Genomic DNA, 22,580 nt, shown 5'->3' on the forward strand with positions numbered 1-22,580 from the left:
TTAATACAATGAAGTCACTCCTTTTTCTTCCAGACGACTGAATGATTACAGTGGCTTGAGTGTCATGTGTGAACCAAAGGAGAGTAGTGGGGTGGGGAATGCTGCTAAGGAAGAGGGGAGAAAGGGGGCAACTGGTCCTTGGATGTAGTCCATAAGGAAGGTCCTCAGCTGGAAATCACATCCTGAATATACCCTCTTTCATCCAGGATTATTTTCATTCAAAACTGGAAACCACAAATTGTGGTTTCTACAAAGACTATTTCAGAAGTACCTCTTCTGATGGCTGTGAGTATGGTAACCATTTGTATTCCTTTCCTATGACAGTCCCTCAATTATACCAGAATCCCTGTTGTTCTGGTGCATTTATTCAGAGCACCCATCTTTACTCTTAAAAGGGTACTGGTTTGGACCATATGGTATGGCCATCCTAGCTCTGACTTAACAATGTGATTATTCCTTTTCCCCTAAATAGATATTGTTCAGATTAATACATTCTAAAAGGTAGGTCATTTGGCATGTGATCTTCATTCTACCTTTAATAGCTGTCTGTTCCATGGCACGCCACTTTAGTCTAAACTTTCTAATGGCATAATAAAGGAAATTAATCACAGGAAAGAGAACTGGGGCTCAGAGAAGCAAAGAAACTTGCATGGTGTCACAGAGGTACTAGCATCAGCATCACAGCTTGAACTTGCTTTTTGTCATTCCATATCCGAAGTTTTTCTACTATGCCACACTGTTTTGCCACTTCATCACATGTGTGTGGCATGCCAGTCAATTTGGGATTGATCCCATCACCTCAGATTAAACCCATCGAAGTGGAGCTCCTGACTTTTTTCTCTAAACCATTTCCCATTTCAAATACCCCACTGGCCAGGGGCATACCATCATTCTATTAGTCTTTGGCATGCCTCTTCTCCTTAGCGTCTATATTCAATCTCACATCTACTTCAGTTTATTCTTTGGAGGATTTCTCAGATTTGCCTCTTTCTCATCGCTCACATTGCCTCGCTCTACGCAGACACTCACCTGTCCAGGCTGTATTACTCGAGCTTCTTCTCGCTCAGACACCTGAATATAGGTTATATACACTGATGCAGAGCAGGACTGTCTAGGTTCAAAGTCTGGCTCAACTATTTACTGGCTGTTGATCGTGTTTCTTAACCTCTTTGTGCCTCAGATTTTTGTTCTATAAAATGGAGTTCTACTTTATAGGGTCATAGAGAGGATTAAGTGAATTACCGTGAAATGTGTAGCAGGAGGCCTGGTATCTATTAAGTGGTTATAAGTGTTATATTAATGAGCATTAGAAGATGTGTTTGAGCTGTGGCAGGTCATGTCAGGGATGCTGCAGAGCAGACTGTGGCTGTGCACAGAAGAAAGGATGAGAGAACATGGAAAGAAGGTGTTCTCAACACTCAGCAACCATTGGTCATCACTTTTTTCCAACATTCTAACTAGCATTGCAGTATGATGTTGGCATATAGTAGGTGCTTAAACAATAGCATGACACACAGAAGAATTAGTATAAAAATAATACTTGCTATTTCTGGTTTGAAATGAATATTAAAACTGTCCCTTATAAGGTCAACTGATATTGAAAATAAAAAGAATGCTCCCATACTCATTAGGAATATACAAAGCGATCCAATACATAATCAGTTCTATGTCTGCTGTATATAAAAGGCCTGGAAAAATTCTTGTTCAAATCAATAACTTTAAAATTGCAACTATACGGCCATTAAATCCAAAACTCACACTTACTAAAAATCGCTGACTGTGCCATCCTCAGTAGTGTTATTTCTTTATCCAATATGAGGTATTTATTACAAAATATCGCCAATCAAAGCATTAAAAAAATTATCAGATGAATATGTGCAACAAAATTTCAAAATTTAATTGTCAACATGAATATATTAAATATCATAGAAGAGAACTCATAAGGAAAATTTAGATAAATATTATCCACACTGGAAAAATATCATGATTTTACATCATCTCCAAGGAGCTGCATTATTATTCATCAGGTAGAAAAAACAAAGGTTGAAGAAATAGAAGTTTTAATTCTTAGTCCACTCAAATTAATGTTTAATTTTGTTACTAAGGAACATAGCACTGAAAATGCAGGCTACTTTGAGAAGATTCTCATGCTATCCTGATGTAATTCTATACAACTCTGGAGGCAACGTATACAATTGCAGATTACACTGGAAAGAAGGGAACCTCCAGGATTTTTTTTTTTTTTTTGAGACGGAGTCTTGTTCTGTTGCCCAGGCTGGAGTGCAGTGGCATGATCTCAGCTCACTGAAACCTCTGTCTCCTGGGATCAAGTGATTCTCCTGCCTCAGCGTCCCAAGTAGCTGGGATTACAGGTGTGTGCCACCATGCCCAGCTATTTTTTTTTATTTTTAGTAGAGACGGGGTTTTGCCATGTTGGCCAGGCTGGTCTTGAACTCCTGACCTCAAGTGATCCACCTGTCTCAGCCTCCCAAAGTGCTGGGATTACAGGCGTGAGCCACCACGCCCGGCCGGAATCTCCATGATGTTTAAATGACTTGTCCAAGGTGTAAGAGAATTTACATATAATTTAAATATCATGGAGGTTCAGTTTCCTCCACTGTACAACTGAGACCTCTCCCCATCCCCTAAAGCTGCTGTGAAGAAAAAAATGGCATAACAAACACAAAGTGATAATAATGGTATGTGGCACTTAGTACTAGATATTCTATATACAGTATGTCCACCTCTGTAAAAAGTTATAGGCAAAGTTTATAACCCACCCTTGCTGGTAACATCTGAGTTTTTCCCTCGAATCCAAAAACCTTATACTTTCTTTCCTTTCTCACTCTCAAAATTTGCTCTGACTCAATGAACTCATTCACATAAGATTCAATAAATTCATTCACATAAGATACACATGAGGAGAATTACATCAATGTCAGCTTGCATATGAAGTCTAATAGATTCAGAGTGGCTTCCTGGACAGCTGGGTTAAGAGGCGATTCTTGAAAGCAGGTGCACTGGGGAAGAATTCTGAGATTGATCCTCAATGGCTTTCATGGAAGGGGACGCCTGAAGGTCACATATTTGCCATTTTTTCTGTGAAGGATAATGGTAAATGTTTCTCTATCTGTAGGCATTTAAGTATTTAAAATATTAAAGCTTCAAGCCAAAAGAAGACCATTTTATGGCCAGGGGCGGTGGCTCACACCTGTAATCCCAGCACTTTCGGAGGCCGAGGTGGGCAGATCAACTGAGGTCAGCAGTTCAAGACCAGCCTGGCCAACATGGCGAAACCCCGTCTCTATTAAAAATACAAAAATTAGCCGGGCTTGGTGGTGCATGCCTGTAATCCCAGCTACTCGGGAGGCTGAGGATGGCGAATCGCTTGAACCCAGGAGGCGGAGGTTGCAGTGAGCCGAAATCATAGCATTGCACTCCAGCCTGGGCACCAATAGTGAAACTGCGTCTCAAAAGAAAAAAAAAAAAGACCATTTTATATATCAGCCTGTGGGAGAGCATAATAAGAAAAAGCGGAGGGGGCTCCCTGATACCTGCAAAACCATCAAGTATGAGGGGTTTCCTACCTCCTGAGGGGCTTCAGCATCATCTATCCCATTGCCTGAGTCCAAGCCCCGTATCCTTTACTTACAATAAAAACTCATTAATTAAAAAATGTCATCATTTGTGGCTAAACTTGAAACATATCTTTCAAGCAACACATGAAGAAAATCACTTGGGATTGTTATTCATTTACTACTATTCTAATTAGTTAAAATCTCCCTATCACCACAAGAAAAATGGAAAATACGAATTTCCTTCTTGCTCTGCCTAGACCATTGAACTACAGGCAGGGAACCCTGAGGTTATATAAAAATCAACTTAACTGCTTTAAATGCTTGATGGCCTAGGAAGTTTTATCAACAGTCAAATAAGTCAAACCCATTGTATTCGTCTGTTCTCATGCTGCTAATAAAGACCTACCAGAGACTGGATAATTTATAAAGGAAAGAGTTTTAATGGACTCACAGTTCCACATGGCTGGGGAGGCCTCACAATCATGGCAGAACACAAAGGAAGAGAAAAGGGACATCTTACATGGCAGCAGGGAAGAGGGCATGTGCGGGGGAACTGCCCTTTATAAAACCATCAGATCTCATGAGACTTATTCACTATCACAAGAACAGCACGGGAAAGACCTACTCTCATGATTCAGTTACCTCCCACTGGGTCCCTCCCATGACATGTGGGGGATTATTACAACTCAAGGTGAGATTTGTGTGGAAACACAGAGCCAAACCATTATCACCCATTTTGATTGATTTCCTTTTGTTTTATTTTTTCACCTTTTTCCATTGCCACTGAGATTTCCTTTTGTTTTAATATTTACTCTCTTCATTTTCTTCACTGACTTCACCAACTTGTCTTGCATTTCTGTTTTAAACCAATGTAACTGAGATAACCCTCAAACTGTTCCCTCACATGCAAAAATATAGCTTATCTTACCGTCCCAAATGTGCTGGGAATCAAATCTAATCTATACTTTTCAAACCACGAGTTTGAATACATAATTTTAAAATATATAAAAAATGGCATATTTCTGATTTTATGGTTTAACCTCAAAGCTGTAACTTGGACTAGTCATTTTCTTCGTGCTACGTCTTATTTTTTAACCTAAAATATAGCCTTCTCTTTAACCACAATCCCTAATCACCTTCCATCCTATGGGCCCAAGTCAAATGTATGGATTAAATAACAGAAATTTCTTTCTGAAGGAAAACCTTTGGATCTTTCTTAGTATTTGTCCCAAATTCCCTTCCTTTCTCTCATCATAATGCTTTTATTCCCTATAAATTCAGCACATATATGAATTCCTTTTTATTTCCCTGAGATTCCAAGTCAATCATGGAACAAAGACTATTTAGGACAAAAGCACTTTTTATATGTTTCACAAGCAGAGGCCAACTGTGTAGAAGCTCACAAGTGGTATGCATTGGGGAGAGAAGGGAAGCCTCTGATTGTCGGGCCTTTTTCTTCCAGACTGTACTGAGAACAGCAGGCAAGGAGCATCAAGAAATTGACCTAGTTCAAGAACCTGTCTCATCTTATCAAGCTCTTTCTTTTCATAGCCACTTTTCTAGTTGAGTGTCAGCCATTCATATCACAGTGTGCAGTTATTCACATAGGATGATTCCTTTCCTGAACAAAAGAGAAAAGTTAATTTTGAGGCTGAAGGACAGAAAGAAAAGATAATTATTGAAGAATAGGACTTAAGGTGAAAGAAGTCCTAGGAAACACAGTATTAGTTGGGTGTTCTTGGGAGCCAGAAAGAAGCAAAAGGAGAGTTAGGGATGGATTTGGGGCTGTGGCAACAGAAGGTGATACCCAAAGGCAAACAGGACATGAAACTTTGCTCTGCTAGAGCCCCAGCAGTTACAACCATCCTGGTCTTACTGGAAACAGTATCCATAGCTAATTAACCTCAGGCACTGAAGCCAAACTGCTTAGAAGCAAGTCATCCCCACCACTTACTGTTTGTGGTTTTGAGATGGAGTCTCTGATGCCCAGGATGGAGTACAATGGCGTGATCTCTGCTCACTGTAACTTCTGCCTCCCGGGTTCAAGCAATTCTCCTGCCTCAGCCTCCTGAGTAGCTGGGACTACAGGCCCATGCCACCATGCTGAACTAATTTTTATATTTTTAGTGGAGACAGGGTTTCAATACATTGGCCACGCTGGTTTCGAACTCCTGACGTCAGGTGATCTGCCCACCTTGGCCTCCCAAAGTGCTAGGATTACAGGCATGAGCCACCGCACTAGACCCCCACTAGTTACCGTTATTTTAACCTCTCAAAGTCTCAGTTTCCTCATCTGTAGAAACAGGCTGCACAGGAGTTTAGCTTACAGACTGCTGAATGTATATGAGATAATGCACAAAGGGTTAGCACAGTGCCAAGCACACAGCAAATGCCCTGTTCATATCAGCTCTTCTAGCCAAGACCCACAGTAACACTCACAAACGTGTTAGTCCATGAAGGCCTGGCCCATACATGGAAAACAACTCCCATGGTAAATAACTTCCATGGAAATGGACAAGGTGGATTCCTTTTACCCCCACCTGCTCACTTTATTTTTCACCTATCTACTTTATTCTCTCACACCATTCTGGGATACAAAACATTTTGCTGTCCTTTCAGATCTAACAGATCCTTGGGAATATCCTTTGGACATTTATTCCAAGCGTGAAAACAATTTTTTTTCAGTGGTATAATTTGGATGTTATTTATACTTTCTTGAAAATTTTCTTTTTTTTTCCTTCCTCTCTCCCTCTCTCCTTTTTCCCTTTCCTCCTTTCTCATTCTTTCTTCCTTCCTTTCTTTGTTCCTCCCTCCCTTCCTTCTTTCCTTCTTTTCCCATAAGTAGGACTGAAGACATTATTCCAGTAGAGTTATTTCCATATAGGCAGGAATTCTCAGCATGACTGTCCAAGGAATGGTTTCTACTATGAGCTTTAAAAAGGATTGTTCCCATGTGTTGACCCCATGTTGATGCTGACACGGCATTCAGCATTTTCTTTCAGCTTAATAGACATGTCAAATATCCTCTGTCTTTATAATATATCTTAAATGCCATTAAGACCATTCTGGAACTGAGTTTATTCTAGTTCCTTCACCTTCTCTGTGTAGAAGCAGTTTCAGGACCATCTCTCCCACTTCCTCCTGCTACCCATGCCTTTTCCTGCCATGTCTTCTCTGAGTGCTCTTGGCAGGCTTCTGAGAAGGCCCAGCACTGAGGGGAAACATCCAAGATTCTTTTAAAAGTACAGTGGAAGCTGCTGAAGTCAGCTGTCAGGTCTAGATAACTTTTTCAGGAGCAGCAATTCGTGCTGGTGGGCAGGCATCCATACTGCCTGCCGTAGCTCCCCTCTCCCTGGCTGGCTGTGTCTCCCCCTCTGGAATTGCCAGTGGCGTGTGACCAATGTTTCTGTATTAAAAAAATTAATAACTAGGTGCCCTTCTCCAGAAGAAAGAATAACTTGAATTTTATCTATTATTTACTTTATTATGTCAAATACTCTTTCTCCCCATTCCAATAGATTTATGGCATAAAAATTTCTATCTAGAACAAGCTTGGTGACCTACCCAGAGAAATGTTAACTTCTTTGTTGCAAACTTTTTTTGTTTTTGTTTTTTAGACGAGTTTTGCTCTGTTGCCTAGGCTGGAGTGCAGTGGTGTAATCTCGGCTCACTGCAACCTCTGCCTCCTGGGTTCAAGCGATTCTCCTGCCTCAGCCTCTCAAGTAGCTGTGATTACAGGCATGCGCCATAACGCCCAGCTAATTTTTGTATTTTTAGTAGGACGGGGTTTTGCCATATTGGCCAGGCTGGTCTCGAACTCCTGACCTCAAGTAATCCACCTGCCTTGGCCTCCGTAAGTGCTGGGATTACAGGCCTGAGCCACTGCGCCCAGCCTGTTGCAAACTTTTGAAACACTAGCGAAAGCTTGAAGGCTGTTTTTGATGGAACTCAAACTGGTATACTCTTCTAAATGCTTTGCATGGATTAATTTAACCATCACCACAATCCTGTGAGACAGATACTGTCATTTATGTTTTTTAAATGAATGAAACATACTGCAGAGTGAAGTAATTTTCCCGAGGTTACACAGCTCATATGTCACAGAGCTGAGATGTTAACACAGTCTGGCTCTAGAATCTATCCCTTAATTGCTACCTTATATTTTTCTTCACAATTAAATAAGCTTGTGGCTTCTAAGTTACATTATGAACAGTCAACTATGTTAAAATCTTGTTCTCACTCATATGTGGAAGCTTAAAAAGTCAATCTCATGCAAGTAGATAGTAGAATGATAGAAACTAGAAGCTGGGAAGGGTTTGTGTAGGCGGGTACAGGGAATAGGGTGGAGATAAAGAGAGGATGGTTAATGGGTACAAACATAGAAGGAATAAGTTCTAGTATTCAATAGCAGAGCAGGTTGACTATAGTTAACAACAGTGTATTGGTATTTCAAAAGAGCTGGACGAGAGGACATGAAATGTTCCAAACACATAGAAATAACAGAAGACTTGAGATCATGACACTCCAAATACCCTGAGGCCTCTTTAATAAAATCAATGCAAATTTACAAATATAAAGCTGAGAACAGGTCTAGAAAAGGCCTGGGTGGCTGAGGGTCCTAAAGCTAAGCAAGGGCCTGAAGCTGCAAGGAACATGAGTTCCTGAAGGGAGCAATTCATTCCCTACTTACAGCCTTAACTCCAGCCAGTCTGTAGGAGATTTTACTTTAGGCACTGAGATGGCAAAAAGCTAATTATAGAAATAGCAGGTTTTCAGGACCAGAGGAATAAAATAAATTATAATCTTATAATCTTGGAATTTAAGAGTTCATCAGTGATGTCCTAGTTTCTTAACTCTTATCCTTCCTTTTAATTTTTGTCCTATTTATCACTGCCATGTGGCTAAATGTACCTATGATGTTTTAATTTACTTAGATATTTTCCTTTTCTCTCAAAGATCCATAGAAACAAGTTTAATGATCAAGGTAAAAATTCTGAGCAATGGCTTCTATTTCTATTTAGTGATAAGTGTCATTCTAACTACTTTAAAAATTAAGAAGTGTATCTGTGGTGGCCATTTGAGTTTTATTTTGTGAGGGATCATAACTATAGCAGGAGGATTAAATAGAAAGTCATTAACACCTGTACTTTGAATGATACCTCTTGTATGAAAGACAATGAATGAAAATTTTCCCTTTAAATGTCTGAAGGGACTCAGATCAGATTCATACCAAACATAAGTCTTTCAGATGACAAAACTGGGCTCAGGGAGGGGTAATGGCATGCTGAGGCCACATGCTGCTATACAATCTTCATACCACACCACCTTGTGTGCTTTTATGATTTGTTAGCGTGAAAATGCATGTTATTATATTTAGCTGGATATTTCCAGCAGCACTGCCTAGCGACACTTTTATATACCCATTTTATATATCCATTATCATGCTGCAAAATTTATATTACCAAGAACTAGATGTACTACAGGAGCTACCTGAGTCCTTTGGTGATCTCAATTAGTGCCCTGGCCCATCAGTCATGACACAGTTCCTATGGTTCTTTGGAGACTTTGTGACACTAAACTATCTTTAACTTTTTCCTCTGTCCCAAATTTTCAGTTAGTTCCTAGTCGTGATGTCCCTTTGTCTCTTTCCTCAAAAATACCTCCTATTTGTTCCTTCTCTTCATTTCTAGTTTAGGACTTAATTATATGTCAGAATTACTGTAATAGCCTCTTCACTTGTCCCCTTGCTCTCATTATCTCTCTAGTCTAATAAGTTCTTCATGTGTATAAACATTTGGTCTCAAGGTATTTGTTTGGAAAGATGGAAACAGATAAGAATGCATAAAACAAGAGATTCTCTGTCAAATAAGCTTGGGAAATGCGCACATCATATTCCTTCTTGGTGGTTTTATAATACACTGTAGCATAAAAAAGGTGCTAAGGAGTCCTGTATTAAAGAATTCTGCAAAACCTTATCTGTCCATGGAAATCTTTGTGGAATAGTTATCAGCATCTCACAGGTAAATTCAGTTTGGAAAACTCTCTCCTCCATTAATCTTCATTGAACATTCCTGCATCATGCTTCTTGCCCAATCGAAAAAAAAAAACATCCAAAGTTCACTAGCACTTCTAGGACCAGGTCCAAATTCACTAGGACAGCACTCCAGGTGTAGCCCCCACCCCGCCCCCGCCCTGGCCTTATGCTGTCTAACTTCATCAGTGCCTCTCTAAGAGCGAATGGGTTACTGCAGTCAGTCCTTTTGTCTTCTGAGCAAGCAGGACTATTCCTTAGAGTGGACACCCAGTTCTGTCCCTCTGGATTTCCAAACTCTTACAGCATGCTGGTCCTTACTGTCACACCAGCATTTACTCAGAGACCATACCTTGCACTGTAACTGAATTATTCATCTCAGCTATCTCTCCCCAGCTAACTAAGTTTCCAGAGGCAAAGAACTCCTTTGCTGTCTGCCCTCTCGACACCCAAGTGTGCTTTGATGACTTCACCATGCAAACGGACAACACTTAGTAAACATATGTTGGCTGAATAAATGAATGAATGAGTGAGTAAGTCTTGTTAAATATCCTTGGCTTTGTAGATTCTTGAGTCCAGGCCACCTGAACATGTGAGGGATTAACATATGAGCTTATCAGATCTAGTCTCATTTCTTTTCTTTTAGTTTTTATTTTTATTTTTTTTTTTTGAGTCAGTCTCGCTCTGTTGCCCAGGCTGGAATGCAGGGGTGCAATTATGGCTCACTGCAGTCTCCACCTCCTGGGCTCAAGCAATCCTCCTGCTTCAGCCTCCTAAGTGGCTGGGACCGCAAGCATGTGCCACCATGCCTGGCTAATTTTTTAAGAACTTTTTGTAGAGATGGGGTCTCACTATGTTGCCCAGGCTGGTCTTGGACTCCTAGGCTCTCCTCCTGCCTTGGCCTCCCAAAGTGCTGGGATTCCAAGCGTGAGCCACCACACCCACTCTAGTGTCATTTCTCACACAACATCAGTGATGCGGAAAAAGCGAACGAAGAGAAGCATTTTATAGAGTCTCTATTGACCTCACCAGGCAGCAGGATGAGACTATGTGAGTCAGGGCTTTACCAACAGTGAAGTGGAAAATATATGCATATGCAACGCTATGCTAAAACTTCCTTCATTGATTACAAAAATACTTAATTCCCAGCAATCCATTTTCAACAGATACTTATTAACATCAGCTAACTTTGAAAAATTGACCACCACGTCAATAATAATGCAAGTTCAAATCTTAAATTCTTATTTTCCTAATAACAAGTTTCTTATTTTATATTCTAGCATTGGTAATTTTTTCTCCTCTACGTAGAATAAAATTAAACAGGTTCATAAAATATTCATCAACTTACATATAAATCATAGCTATCTCTATGCCTCTGAGTTTAAATTAGTTTTCTTTTTAGCCTGGGATGACTAATATTTGCTGCCGATATTTCTCTCAAGCAGCTTATCTTTTTTTTTTTGAGATGGACTCTTACTCTGTCACCCAGGCTGGACTGCAGTGGTGTAGTCTCGGCTCACTGCAAACTCTGCCTCCTGGGTTTAAGCGATTCTCCTGCCTCAGCCTCCCGAGTAGCTAGGATTACAGGCGCACGCTACCACGCCCAGCTAATTTCTTATTTTTAGTAGAGACAGGGTTGGCCAGGCTGGTCTCGAACTCCTGACCTCAGGTGATCCACCCGCCTCGGCCTCCCAAAGTGCTAGGACTACAGGTGGGAGCCACCACACCTGGCCTTTTTTAAAAAAAGTTCTATTATTTGATCTACAGTCTGAAATGTCTTATTTCTTATATACACATACCTCCAATTGCACACGATGCAAAATAACTGATTTAGGCACTTCATTTATATAATCACATTCCCTAGGATCCATGTCTGCATTATATAAGTCCCTACTGATGGTCCCTACTGATGATATGTAGCAGTAGCAGACTGCTGGACTTTACTTAAACAATTCTTCTGATGCCCATATTGATGACTTCAAACAAAAGGCAATGCCAAAGGTGGCCCATCCTACTTCTGTCCCCACATGATCTCAAGATATTTGAGCTGTAGTTGGTAAAGGAAGCAGATTGGGTAACACTGGACCAGACTAGGATTTCAAGCTCCACCTCTGTTGATAACTAGCTGGCCGGCCCTAGATAGGCCTCAGAGCCCCACTAGGTCTGAATTTTCTTATTTGTAGTTTGAGATGGTTAAACTGGATGTGGTAAACTGTTGTGACTCTATTAAGCAAATTCCTTATTCCATTAAAAGGGCCTCTAGAAGACATTTGGTTAATCAGGAACTAAAATTAGACTGAACTACAACTAGCTTCCTAGCTGCTAAGTTTCAGCCACATTCCTGGTGCTTAGGCAGTATCAGGTCCAGGTTTACTGGGTATCATGTTGCTAGGGTCACTTCAGAAGGAATTACAGGAATAGCCTTGGCTGTGGCCTTTTCTAAGGACATGCATTTATTATATTTATAAGAGTTTTAAAAAGAGACTGAATTGAATCCATTTAACATAGGAAATATAATAACAAGTATTAAAAGATCCATTTAGTTTTGCTTTAGAAAAGCAGTCATTGAAAAATCTGAAGCCAATGTAATAGGCCCTTGGTCCAATAACAGTAATTTTACTCAGTAGCATTTTGTCAAAAAGAAAAGCCAGAACTTACTTACCTGTACGTTAGCATGGACAGACCCAGGCACTTGATATCTCAACTCATGGGCTGTTGTTTGAGACTTTGGAAGCAGAAAAGGATAAGAAAGGGACCGATATTTTGATTTCATAATCTAAAATAAAGAAAAAGGATAAAATATTCAAATGAGAAAAAAGATTCATTCTCCCTACTTTGTGATTATAAAAGAAATTCATGCCCAGGTGCAGTGGCTCACGCCTGTAATCCCAGCACTTTGGGAGGCCAAGAAGCGGGGATCACTTGAGGTCAGGAGTTCGAGATCAGCCTGGCCAACACGGTGAAACCCCCATCTCTACTAAAAATACAAAAATTAGCCAAGCATGGTGGCGGGCGCCTGTAATCCCAGCTACTCGGGAGGCTGAGGCAGGAGAATCACTTGAACCTCGGAGGCAGAGGTTGCAGTGAGTCGAGATTTCATCATTGCACTACAGCCTGGGTGACAAGAGTGAATCTCCATCTCAAAAAAAAAAAAAAAAAAAAGAAAAAGAAAAGAAAAGAAATTCAGGTTAATTTGAAAAAGAAAAAGAAAAATGTTAATGGTGGACATTTCTAAGTGAAGGGCTACAGATTATTTGTGTTTGTTTTCTACTTCTCACAGTCCTGTTTTTACCTTTTGTAGGGGAAATATTGTTTTATATTTGTAAAGACAGGTTAAATATAATCTGTAGTTACAGAACTTTATAATTGCAAAAATGAGACTATTGTTTTATAAACTAATTTTTTACTGATTATGTTCTAGATATCTTGTCACAGCAATATAGTGGGATATCATTATTTTTAATAACTTCATAGTAAAATGGTATAAAAGAATCATTTGTTTAATAAATTCCTATTAGTAAGGATTTCTGTTATTTCTAATTTTATTTGAATTATTAGAAGCCATATCAAAATAAATTACCTTATTGGATTATGGCTTTAGTTTGAATACCCGGAAATAGTTTTTCTGGATCAAAGATTGCATACTTTAAAAAAGACTTATTGGTGTTGTACAAATTTATCCTCCCTGGGGTAGCATGTATGAGCACACCACAAAAACCACCCCAAACCTAACTACAGGTATCAGCAGAGACTTTTATCTTTGCCAGTATAGCAGGTTAAAAGTAACACCCCATTTGTTTATTCATCCATCTCCCCTAAATTTTTGTTAAAAAATTTCAATTAGAATGTCCACTAAATTTTTATAATCATTATGTGAATGAAAAACAAAGTTAGACTCTAAGTGGTTGATAAAACTAAATTCTTTTTCCAAACGACCAAGGGGAATCATGACTCATTATCCCTTCAAGTAAATAAAGTGAAACTTTAATAACACCTGAATATGTACTTTTTTTTTTTTTTTTTGAGACAGAGTCTCGCTCTGTTGCCTAGGCTGGAGTACAATGGAGTCCTCTCAGCTCACTGCAAACTCCGCCTCCTGGATTCAAGTGATTTTCCTGCCTCAGCCTCCAGAGCAGTTGAGATTACAGGCACCCACCACCATGCCCAGCTAATTTTTGTATTTTAGTAGAGACAGGTTTTCACCATGTTGGTCAGGCTGGTCTCGAACTCCTGACCTCAGGTGATCCACCAGCCTAGGCCTCCCAAAGTGCCAGGATTACAGTCGTGGGCCACCGTGCCTGGCCTGAATGATACGTACTTAACTTATGAATGTTAGGTTTGAATGTTATGTCAAGTTCTTACAAGTAATGAGGACACAATCTGGATAAAAGGAAAATGGCCCCACCTTCTTAATACTTCTTGGTTTGCTCAGAACCAGCTCTCAGAATCCTGTACCAATATAAACCCAGTGCAATTCCAGTCCCATCCAACTGGATGGGACTTTAAAGCTCAAGCCCTCTCATCTAAACCAGGCTCCTATCCCCCTATAACAGCCCTGCAAATGACTACCGAGCCCAGGCTACTAAATGCTTAGTCAACACTGTGTCCAAGATGTTAACAAGGTTAAAATCAGGACCCACACAGCAGCACCTGTCCCTAGGCACTCTGAATTGTCTATGGTGTGGACATTCGGGAATGTTTCCCTTTTTTTTTGCCCAGATGCCCAGGCACCCGGACATCAATGCAGCCAACAGCAGAGCAGTGACACAGTTGTGGCCACAACAGTCTCTTCTTGCTACCAGCCTCCTCTAAACCTCTTCTCTAGTTAGGCCTGCCTCTCTTCATGTGGATAAATCATGATAGCAACATCCAAGTACTTTTGTGAAGTTCCAGCGCTGGATGAAGTGACGTGCCACATCACGAGCCGCCTTCCCGTGGACTGCAGAGGCAATGTCATGCCAGGGCATCCGGGGCGTGGAGTACCTGTCAATGAAATCTGCCCGGGTGCACCAGGCAAGGATCAGTCATTAACTTCAGTGTTGGGGCAAAGTCTCTCTGACTCCAACTATGAAACTAAAAGGAAACGTGGGTTAGTGCCCACTAGGTATATATTTCTTGGCTTGCATAGAACAACATTTTTATAATCAAGGGAAACAGATTTCACATTCAGGGACATAGTCTCCCAGGCACTTCCCCACATATGTTTCCGTTTCACTTAGGATTAGATAATCACTAGACATGGCAAGATGTGAGTTGGTACAAATTATCTAAGGCTGTGTATTTGATATTATATTTTTTATTTTTTATCCTGTTGAAACAATGGCAGGCAATGCCATCTCTATCTCCTCTTAAACATATAAACCCAGTGATAACCTGAAAATATGCCATTCTAACGCTGGAAATGCAGGAAATAAGCAGAATAGAAGATGATCAAAGGGAGCCTACCATTTCCTGAAAAATTACTGATTATTGCCCCCAAAATATGCCTATAAAAATCTGGATTTTTCAGACAGTTCAGCTCTATTTCATGTTCTTTTCTTATTATAACTGAAAAAAAAGTCCTTAAGCACATGCTAATGACTAAATCTAGTCTCCAAAGTTTTAAAAAATTTTCAAAAATCAACGGAAGCAAAACAAAAGGCATTTAGATCATGCACATGTATACTTGCTGAGATGTTCAAAGGTAAAAGACAAAATATAACCAGCACCCCACCATTATGATACTCACCAGCAAAAGGTTTATCAAGTTGAACCCAGTCTTTGAAGACGAAATTGCAGTAGTCCTTTCCATGCCAGAATCTGGTTTCCCCATGCAGCTCTCCCACACCTGTCTGTAAACTACGGATGGACCCGGTATCTGTGAATGCAGCAAGACCCCCTCAGAGACTGTGGTTCAGGTGAGTCCCAGAAAGGGAGGCTCAACTCTCATTTATTAAACACCTAAAAGCTTCTTAATTTCTTAAGACACAACTAGGGTGGCATCTGTCCATTCTATTACAGGCTGTGGGCTAACAAGGTTTTACAGTCCTTACAAGTTTACTTTTAGTGGGCAGTTAGGGCTACAACAAGATTCATCATTAAACAATGAAATTTGACCTTCTCAGGCAGTTGAGTAACTTATTTCCACCACCTACCAGATCACTGGAAGAACTATCACAGAATTAACTGTGAATAAAGAACTCACAAGGTGGCACTATGAGAGCAGTAAAGCTGGTGGGGGGCTTTCAGGGGCAGAGTGGGAAGGGCGGGGAGGGGAGAGGTGGAGAAACCTGAGACGCAGGGGCAATAAAGACACCATGCCACTTCTTTTTCCTCAACCAACATGGTGCACACCTGATGCATAATTCTTTTGCATTAAAGCAAGAACCTCAAATTTACAGATAGCCCATGTTCCAGCCCTGGAATTAATTAGCTAAGTGACACTGAGCTTCAGTTTTTTAGATCATAAATCCATTATGCGTAAAATGAAGAATTTGGCCTAGATAACAGCTAAAATCTGTTGCGCTTTAACATTTATATACTTCAAATCATAGATGGCATTTATAAAAAATATGGTAACAACAGATGAAAGCTTATGATATAGGTGCAAAAGCAGCAATCTACTATAGCATTTCACAAATAACTGTGCCGAGACCATTGACTTACGGCTAAATACAAAGACAATGAAGTAAAAAGATGCAGAATTACAAATCACAAACGCAGCACTTGGCACAAAAGAGGCATTTAACAAATAGACACTGAATGCAAAAATATGTGTTGAATGAATAAATGGTACTGCTTGCAGTAGCCAGTGAGAGGACTACACTGGTCCTGCCACCAACACACTGTCCCAGAACTGTCTTTGTAAAATGCACTCTTTGCTTAAAACCCTGGAAGGTTCACATACTGCCTATAGGAAGCTCAAGTCCTAAGGGCTTAGTGTGCATAGAAGACTCTTCCCAAACTGGTGCCAATCTATCTTTCTAGTCCTTGTTTTTCCCCACCCAACCCCAGGCCCCATGCAAATCACGTGTTTCACTGTATTATAACAGGTGTGGACTGCCATGTCTCCATGCAGTTGGCACATTATTACTTCTACCTGAAATGCTCCTTTCTCCCTCTTGGCCTGATATCCTAATCATCCTTCAAGAGCCACATTAGCTATCACCTGCCATCTCCCCATAAGGAAGAGGCAGTCACTAGCACTGCTGTCATCCCACTAACAACTGCCCCAACACCTCTGACTCTGTGACGCAATTGTATCAGGATGCTCCCCTGCCCGCATCAATGCCTCACCAGTCTATAAACTCTTTGGGAGTGGGAACCAAATCTTCTCACTGCCAGTAGCTCCAAGCACCCAGGCAATCAATAAATATTTGCAGAACAAATGTTTTTATGTAATCACCACACACAATGCTAATATTCTATCTCAAACTGAATCATTAACCTTTCAAAGGCTATTAAAGTTTTCTACAGAAGAAAAATGATTTAAAATGCCATAGATTAGCAAAATGAAATCATGTTAAAAATAGACTTCTATTGACTTCTCCCAGTGATTTATTTTCCTGCTTTATGAGACTGAAAGGCCAAAGTACGGGTAGGTCTGTTTGCTCATCTATAGGCTCTTTATTGTTTACATAGCACTTTGTTAAAAGAAGAAAAGAGGGTGAGAAAAGAAACAAAAGGGATGAAAAATGAGATAAACAATATTTCAAATTTCAAATATAAAATACACATATACAATTTGCTTTCATCAACTGCAAAACTCTAAGCTAAGGCTTTACATAAACACATATACACTCATTTAAAAATTATCTTTCACCTAACAACCAGTTATGATAAGGAAAATAAAGGAAATTCTTAGTCTCAGGAAATTATCTTGGTACTAATTGAATTCAACCTGCTCATAATTCAAATTTGTTTTTGTTTTTAGCCATGGCCTAAAAACTATTCCACATAAATTAGGGTTCCTCCTCAGTACAAATGAACTATTAAGGCAATAGAGCCAAATACTAGTTCCTGTGAAAACAGTAGCTCAGAATTACATGAGTGTGGTCGAGAGGACTTATGGCATCAACAATGCTGATCCAAGGGGGTCTCGTTAGGCTGCTATCTGGCTCCCAAATGATTTCATAATTGCACCTGCCTTGTCTTTTGGCACAGATTTGTCAGGCCAATTTTCTGCATCCTCCTCTGTCAGTGGCTCAGATTCTGGCTACTAAAGTTTATGAGAAGGGGGACTTCTTGTTCCTTGCCTGGTGTCCTCTGGTCGTGCCACATCCTCCTCCTTCTATTCTCATCTCTCGGCTTCCAGGTCTCCATTTTTCTACCATTTCTCCAGCCTATCCTTGTTCTTCTTTCCTAGCTCCTCCTCACTAACAAGGTTTCCCCCTTTCTCCTGTCTTTTTGTTTTCTTTTTCTTCCTCTTTTTTTTTTTTTTTTTTTTTTTTTTGAGACTGGAGTGCAGTGGCACGATCTCGGCTCACTGCAACCTCTGCCTCCCAGGGCCAAGTGTTCAAGCAATTCTCCTGCCTCAGCCTCCCGAGTAGCTGGGATTACAGGCGCACACCACCATGCCCTGCTAATTTTTGTATTTGATAGTAGAGACAGGGTTTCACCATGTTGGCCAGGCTCATCTCGAACTCCTGACCTCGTGATCTGCCTGCCTCGGCCTCCCAAAGTGCTGGGATTACAGGCGTGAGCCACCACACCCGGCCTCTCCTGTCTTTTTCTATACAATTTCTAAAATGTGCACCTGCAAGGATGGCTTCTGTTTTGGACTCCAAATCTAAGGTCACTTCCAGTGCCTCACTTGACATTGTTTACCTAGTTCCCTCCAGAACTTTAAAATTATGTCTAACACTAAAATCATCATCATTCCATAAAATCAAGTCTTTCCTTGAGATTTCTGCTGTCTGTGTGTAGTAACTCAAGCTCAAACCTCGGAATCACCTTTGGCTCCTTTATTCTTCGCTGACTTCTCCACCCACCTCCCCACGGCTTCCCAGATCATGATGAAAATCTGCTGATTCTGCTTTTGGAAAAAGTTTCTCCCATTTACTTCGTTCTTGAACTCACTGACACAACCTTGTCAGACTCCCTGTGTCTCTACTATAAACGCTATAAAGCCTCACCCTTAATTGCTCCCTGCCCCTAGGGATTTTCCAACATTTAATGGAAGAGGTGCAATGTCTCAGTCTGATTTTCAAAGTCCTCCGTAAACTGCTACAGATATATCCCACCAGCTCAATCTGCACAAATCAGCCCTTAACCACAATTCCAAAACTCCAAAAGTTCTAACAATTCAAATGTTTTTTCATAGCTGATTTTCACAGCTCATTTCATAACTCACAGGTCAGCAAAATCTGACCTGAACTGACAAGAGGTTATTTATTATCTTTATTGATCCCACTTGGTGTTGCACAAACATAAATGGTTTGCCTACATTCCAGGTATTTCCTGGATCCTGCTGGGAGTGTAATATAGTAGAGGGTATAGGTATTGTATTACCTTTCTAAAATCCAGAACTTTCTGATTTCTGAAATCTGATTCCAAGGATTTTGTATGAGAGATTATAGACCTATATGTATTTACCACATTCTACACTCAGTCTGAGATGCCGAAATAAATACTTTTGCATTTCCTATATCTGGGTCTTAAGATGTAGTATCTACCTAAAATGCCTGTTTTTCTACCTTTTTAGTCTCTACCTACCGAATTTCTACATATGTTCAAGGCCAGTTCCAATACAGGCACTGAACAAGTTATATTTTAAAAAATATTTTGGTTTTCAAAATTTTTTGGAATTTAGAATCGTGGTTAAGGGTTTGTAGACCTGTATTTCGTCTGTGGATCAATGATGACTCTTGCAGTAGGAGTATCTTCCCTCAATGAATTACTAAAATATTAGGTTTGTAAAATATTTAAAACTCATGCTCACCTATTAGATAACAAGCTATTTAACAGCACTAGATGAATCTTACACATCCTATCCATTGCATTCCTAAGAACAGTTTAGAAACAGCTTAATATTATCCCTTGTGACGAGACATTCAAATTTGAAAAGCCTGTCTCAACTAAATTGCAAAAATAATTTTTCCCTCACTTACCTATTTAATATTGCTTAAAAGGAAAAGATCAGCACATAGTTGCTGAATAGCATTAGGAGAAACACTTAATGTAGATGACAGGTTGATGGGTGCAGCAAACCACTGTGGCACTTGTATACCTATGTAACAAACCTGCATGTTCTGCACGTGTATCCCAGAACTTAAAGTATAATACAGAAAGAAAAAGAAAGAAAGAAAGAAAGAAAGAAAGAAAGAAAGAAAGAAAGAAAGAAAGAAAGAAAAAGAAAGAAAGAAAGAAAGAAAGGGAATAAAATTCAACACTTTAAAAATAGTATCAAGCAAAATTCTCCCTCTTAGAACATAATTCTGAATGAAAAAAAATCTTGAAAATGACTGAGTGATTTTGAAAAACATATATTTCAGATATGATTCCTAACCACGTTTTTAGTGCAGTTTTTCTATATAAAAACCCATAGTGATGTTCACTCCACACTGATTTCTGTATGACACCAGGAGGTTTAATTCAACAAGGAGCCCAATTCAACATGGTCATATGCGGTCAAGTGAAATTGATATTGCAGAGAGGCTAACTCTCTTTGCATTCTCAGGAAAAGGAAGTCATTAACTCAAGTTCATATTCAGTTTTAAATTTCTAACGAAGAGTCACTCCATGCTTAATTTGGGTTTCAAGTTTTATAAGGCAACCTGAGTTTTTAAGGTATTACATGATTTAAATCTAGAGCCTTGCTCTTTAAACTTCCTTCATTTTTTTAGTAGAACTTTTCTTTTTTGAAAACAAGTTCAGAAGGAACTCCAATAATTAAAACAGATACAAGTGGGATTGTTCTGGTTGAAGAGGTACCAATAGCTGTGGGAGGGTCCTGGGGTTCACCTACTTCAATGTTCTCCTCAAAGCCTTTTAAAAACTCCAGGATCCAAGGAATCGACTTTGGAAAGCACTGCTCTAGAAGGACCCCATGATCCTTTGGCTTTTCTTTTTAGGTAAACTGTTTTCATTTTAAAAAATTAAATTTGTATTTATATTTGACTATAAAAGTAAAATGAAAACAGTACCAACAATGTGGGAAAAAAATAAATCACCTCACGCTCCATCTTCCTAACAAAGATAGCATCATTGAATGTCCTTTGTCAGCTGCCTTCACGAACATATTTTGATACAGTGGCAATTGTCCTCAAATTTTCCTTGCTCTTCCCATAGCCACCTCATTTCAGTTCATGGAAATTCCATCTTTCCAGTGGGGCCAAAGATTTGGAGTCCTCTCCATCTCTCACATCTTGTATCTAGTTCATCGGCAAATGCTGTCAGCTCGACCCTCAAAATATATTCACAACCTGCAGAGTCACCATTTGCCACCCTGGTCTGCTCTGAAGAATGATCCTTGGAAAATGTAAGTCAGCCCTCGCCTACCCTTCGCTCAAGACCATCCGATGACTTCCTATCTCACTCAGGGTCAAAATCTTACAGTGGTCTGCAAGACCTCACATAACCCACCCCAGCCCACCTCTCTGATTTTGTTCTTATCATCCTCTCCTAGCCCACTTCACTACAGCCGTATTCCTGGAACACACCCAACCCCTCTACCTCATGGCCTTTCATACTTGCTATTCCTTCTGTCGGAAACACCCTCTCTCAGTTTCTTATCCTCATTCTTCTCTTTCTTTCGATGTCAGCTGAAAACTAACCTCATGAGAGATGTATTCTCCGATGAGCCTTTACAAAATAGTAACTCTTCTCCTATGCTCTTCCTCCCGGATCATGCTCAACTATTCTCCGTGATAATTATCACCACCTGAAATGTGTTTGACTCTCTATTTGTATACACAGTTCCCATCCTTACCCTCCAACTAGTTAATTGCACTTCATCTGTTTTATTCACCACATCTCTAGCACCCAGAATAGTGATTGGCATATAACAGAAACTCAATAAACACTTATTTAATTAAATAAATAAATCTTCTATGTTTATTTTTGTATCCCCAACTACAGTTGTAATCATTGCCCAATTCCATAAAAGAGATGAACCATTTGTTACCATTCATTATGTTCTTCACCATTTCCCTACTCTTTGACGTTTAGGTTGTTCTCTCTCTCTATCTCTCTCTCTGTCTCTCAACAATGCTACACTAGACATATATTCAGTTTATCAGTGAGGGGTTGTAAACAGATGTCAAGGGTACTTTTCATCAGCAACACCATACACATGTATGATCAGTGTCTCAGATCACCACTGTGGATATCACCTCTGTCAACCTGGGGTAGGCGTGAGTTACTTACTGGACTCAGCACCTCACTCACATCTTTTCCACTTGCTGTCAATCCTATTGCCAGCAACACTATCAGTCATAATTCAGATCCATAATCTTCATGGGTTGGCAACCTCCTTTCCTCCACTTCATTTTTAACTTCAGTAATAAAGCAGCAAAGTTACACATTGAAACGATAAGGCACTACCTGGAGCTGTTTCCAACCCTTTACCTCTAATATCGGCCACTGCATGCACTCTTGACCTGGCTTCCTAGATTTCCCAGAGGCCTCCTACTTCCCAGGACTTTGAAGCTTTGTCATGCACAGGAATTACTGGGAGTTGTCCCTGAATCCACACATACACCCAGTACTAGGTGTATGCTAAATAAATATATGTCTCCCCATATTTGTTCTTCTCCATTTTTATTTTTCAAAAATTTAAAAATTGTTTTTGTGTGTGTGAGAGAGGGTCTCCCTCTGTCACCCAGGCTGGACTGCAGTGGCATGATCTCAGCTCACTGCAACCTCTGCCTTCCAGGCTCCAGCAATTCTCCCACCTCAGCTGCCAGAAAAGCTGGGACAACAGATGCATGCCACCACACTCAGCTAATTTTTGTAGAGAGGGGGTTTCACTGCGTTGCCGAAGATGGTCTTGA

The 22,580-nt window shown here is 40.0% G+C and overlaps 1 protein-coding gene across 12 annotated transcripts in view; it reads right to left on the reverse strand.

Annotated features, from left to right (window-relative positions):
- The window catches only part of PLD1 (phospholipase D1), a 210,080-nt gene that overhangs the window by 61,825 nt on the left and 125,675 nt on the right, over positions 1-22,580 (reverse strand). For 11 of the 12 annotated variants that reach the window (NM_001130081.3, NM_002662.5, XM_047448316.1 and 8 more), the window contains 3 exons: positions 15,338-15,466; positions 14,487-14,605; positions 12,272-12,385 (listed from right to left, as the gene is read on the reverse strand). In NM_001130081.3, the coding sequence (NP_001123553.1) occupies positions 12,272-12,385; positions 14,487-14,605; positions 15,338-15,466 (362 nt within the window). Of the gene's footprint in view, positions 1-2,931; positions 3,100-12,271; positions 12,386-14,486; positions 14,606-15,337; positions 15,467-22,580 lie in introns of all 12 variants that reach the window. The other variant, XR_007095693.1, reaches the window with a different exon arrangement.

This window comes from Homo sapiens, chromosome 3 (assembly GCF_000001405.40).
Source record: "Homo sapiens chromosome 3, GRCh38.p14 Primary Assembly".
Lineage (NCBI taxonomy): Eukaryota > Metazoa > Chordata > Mammalia > Primates > Hominidae > Homo > Homo sapiens.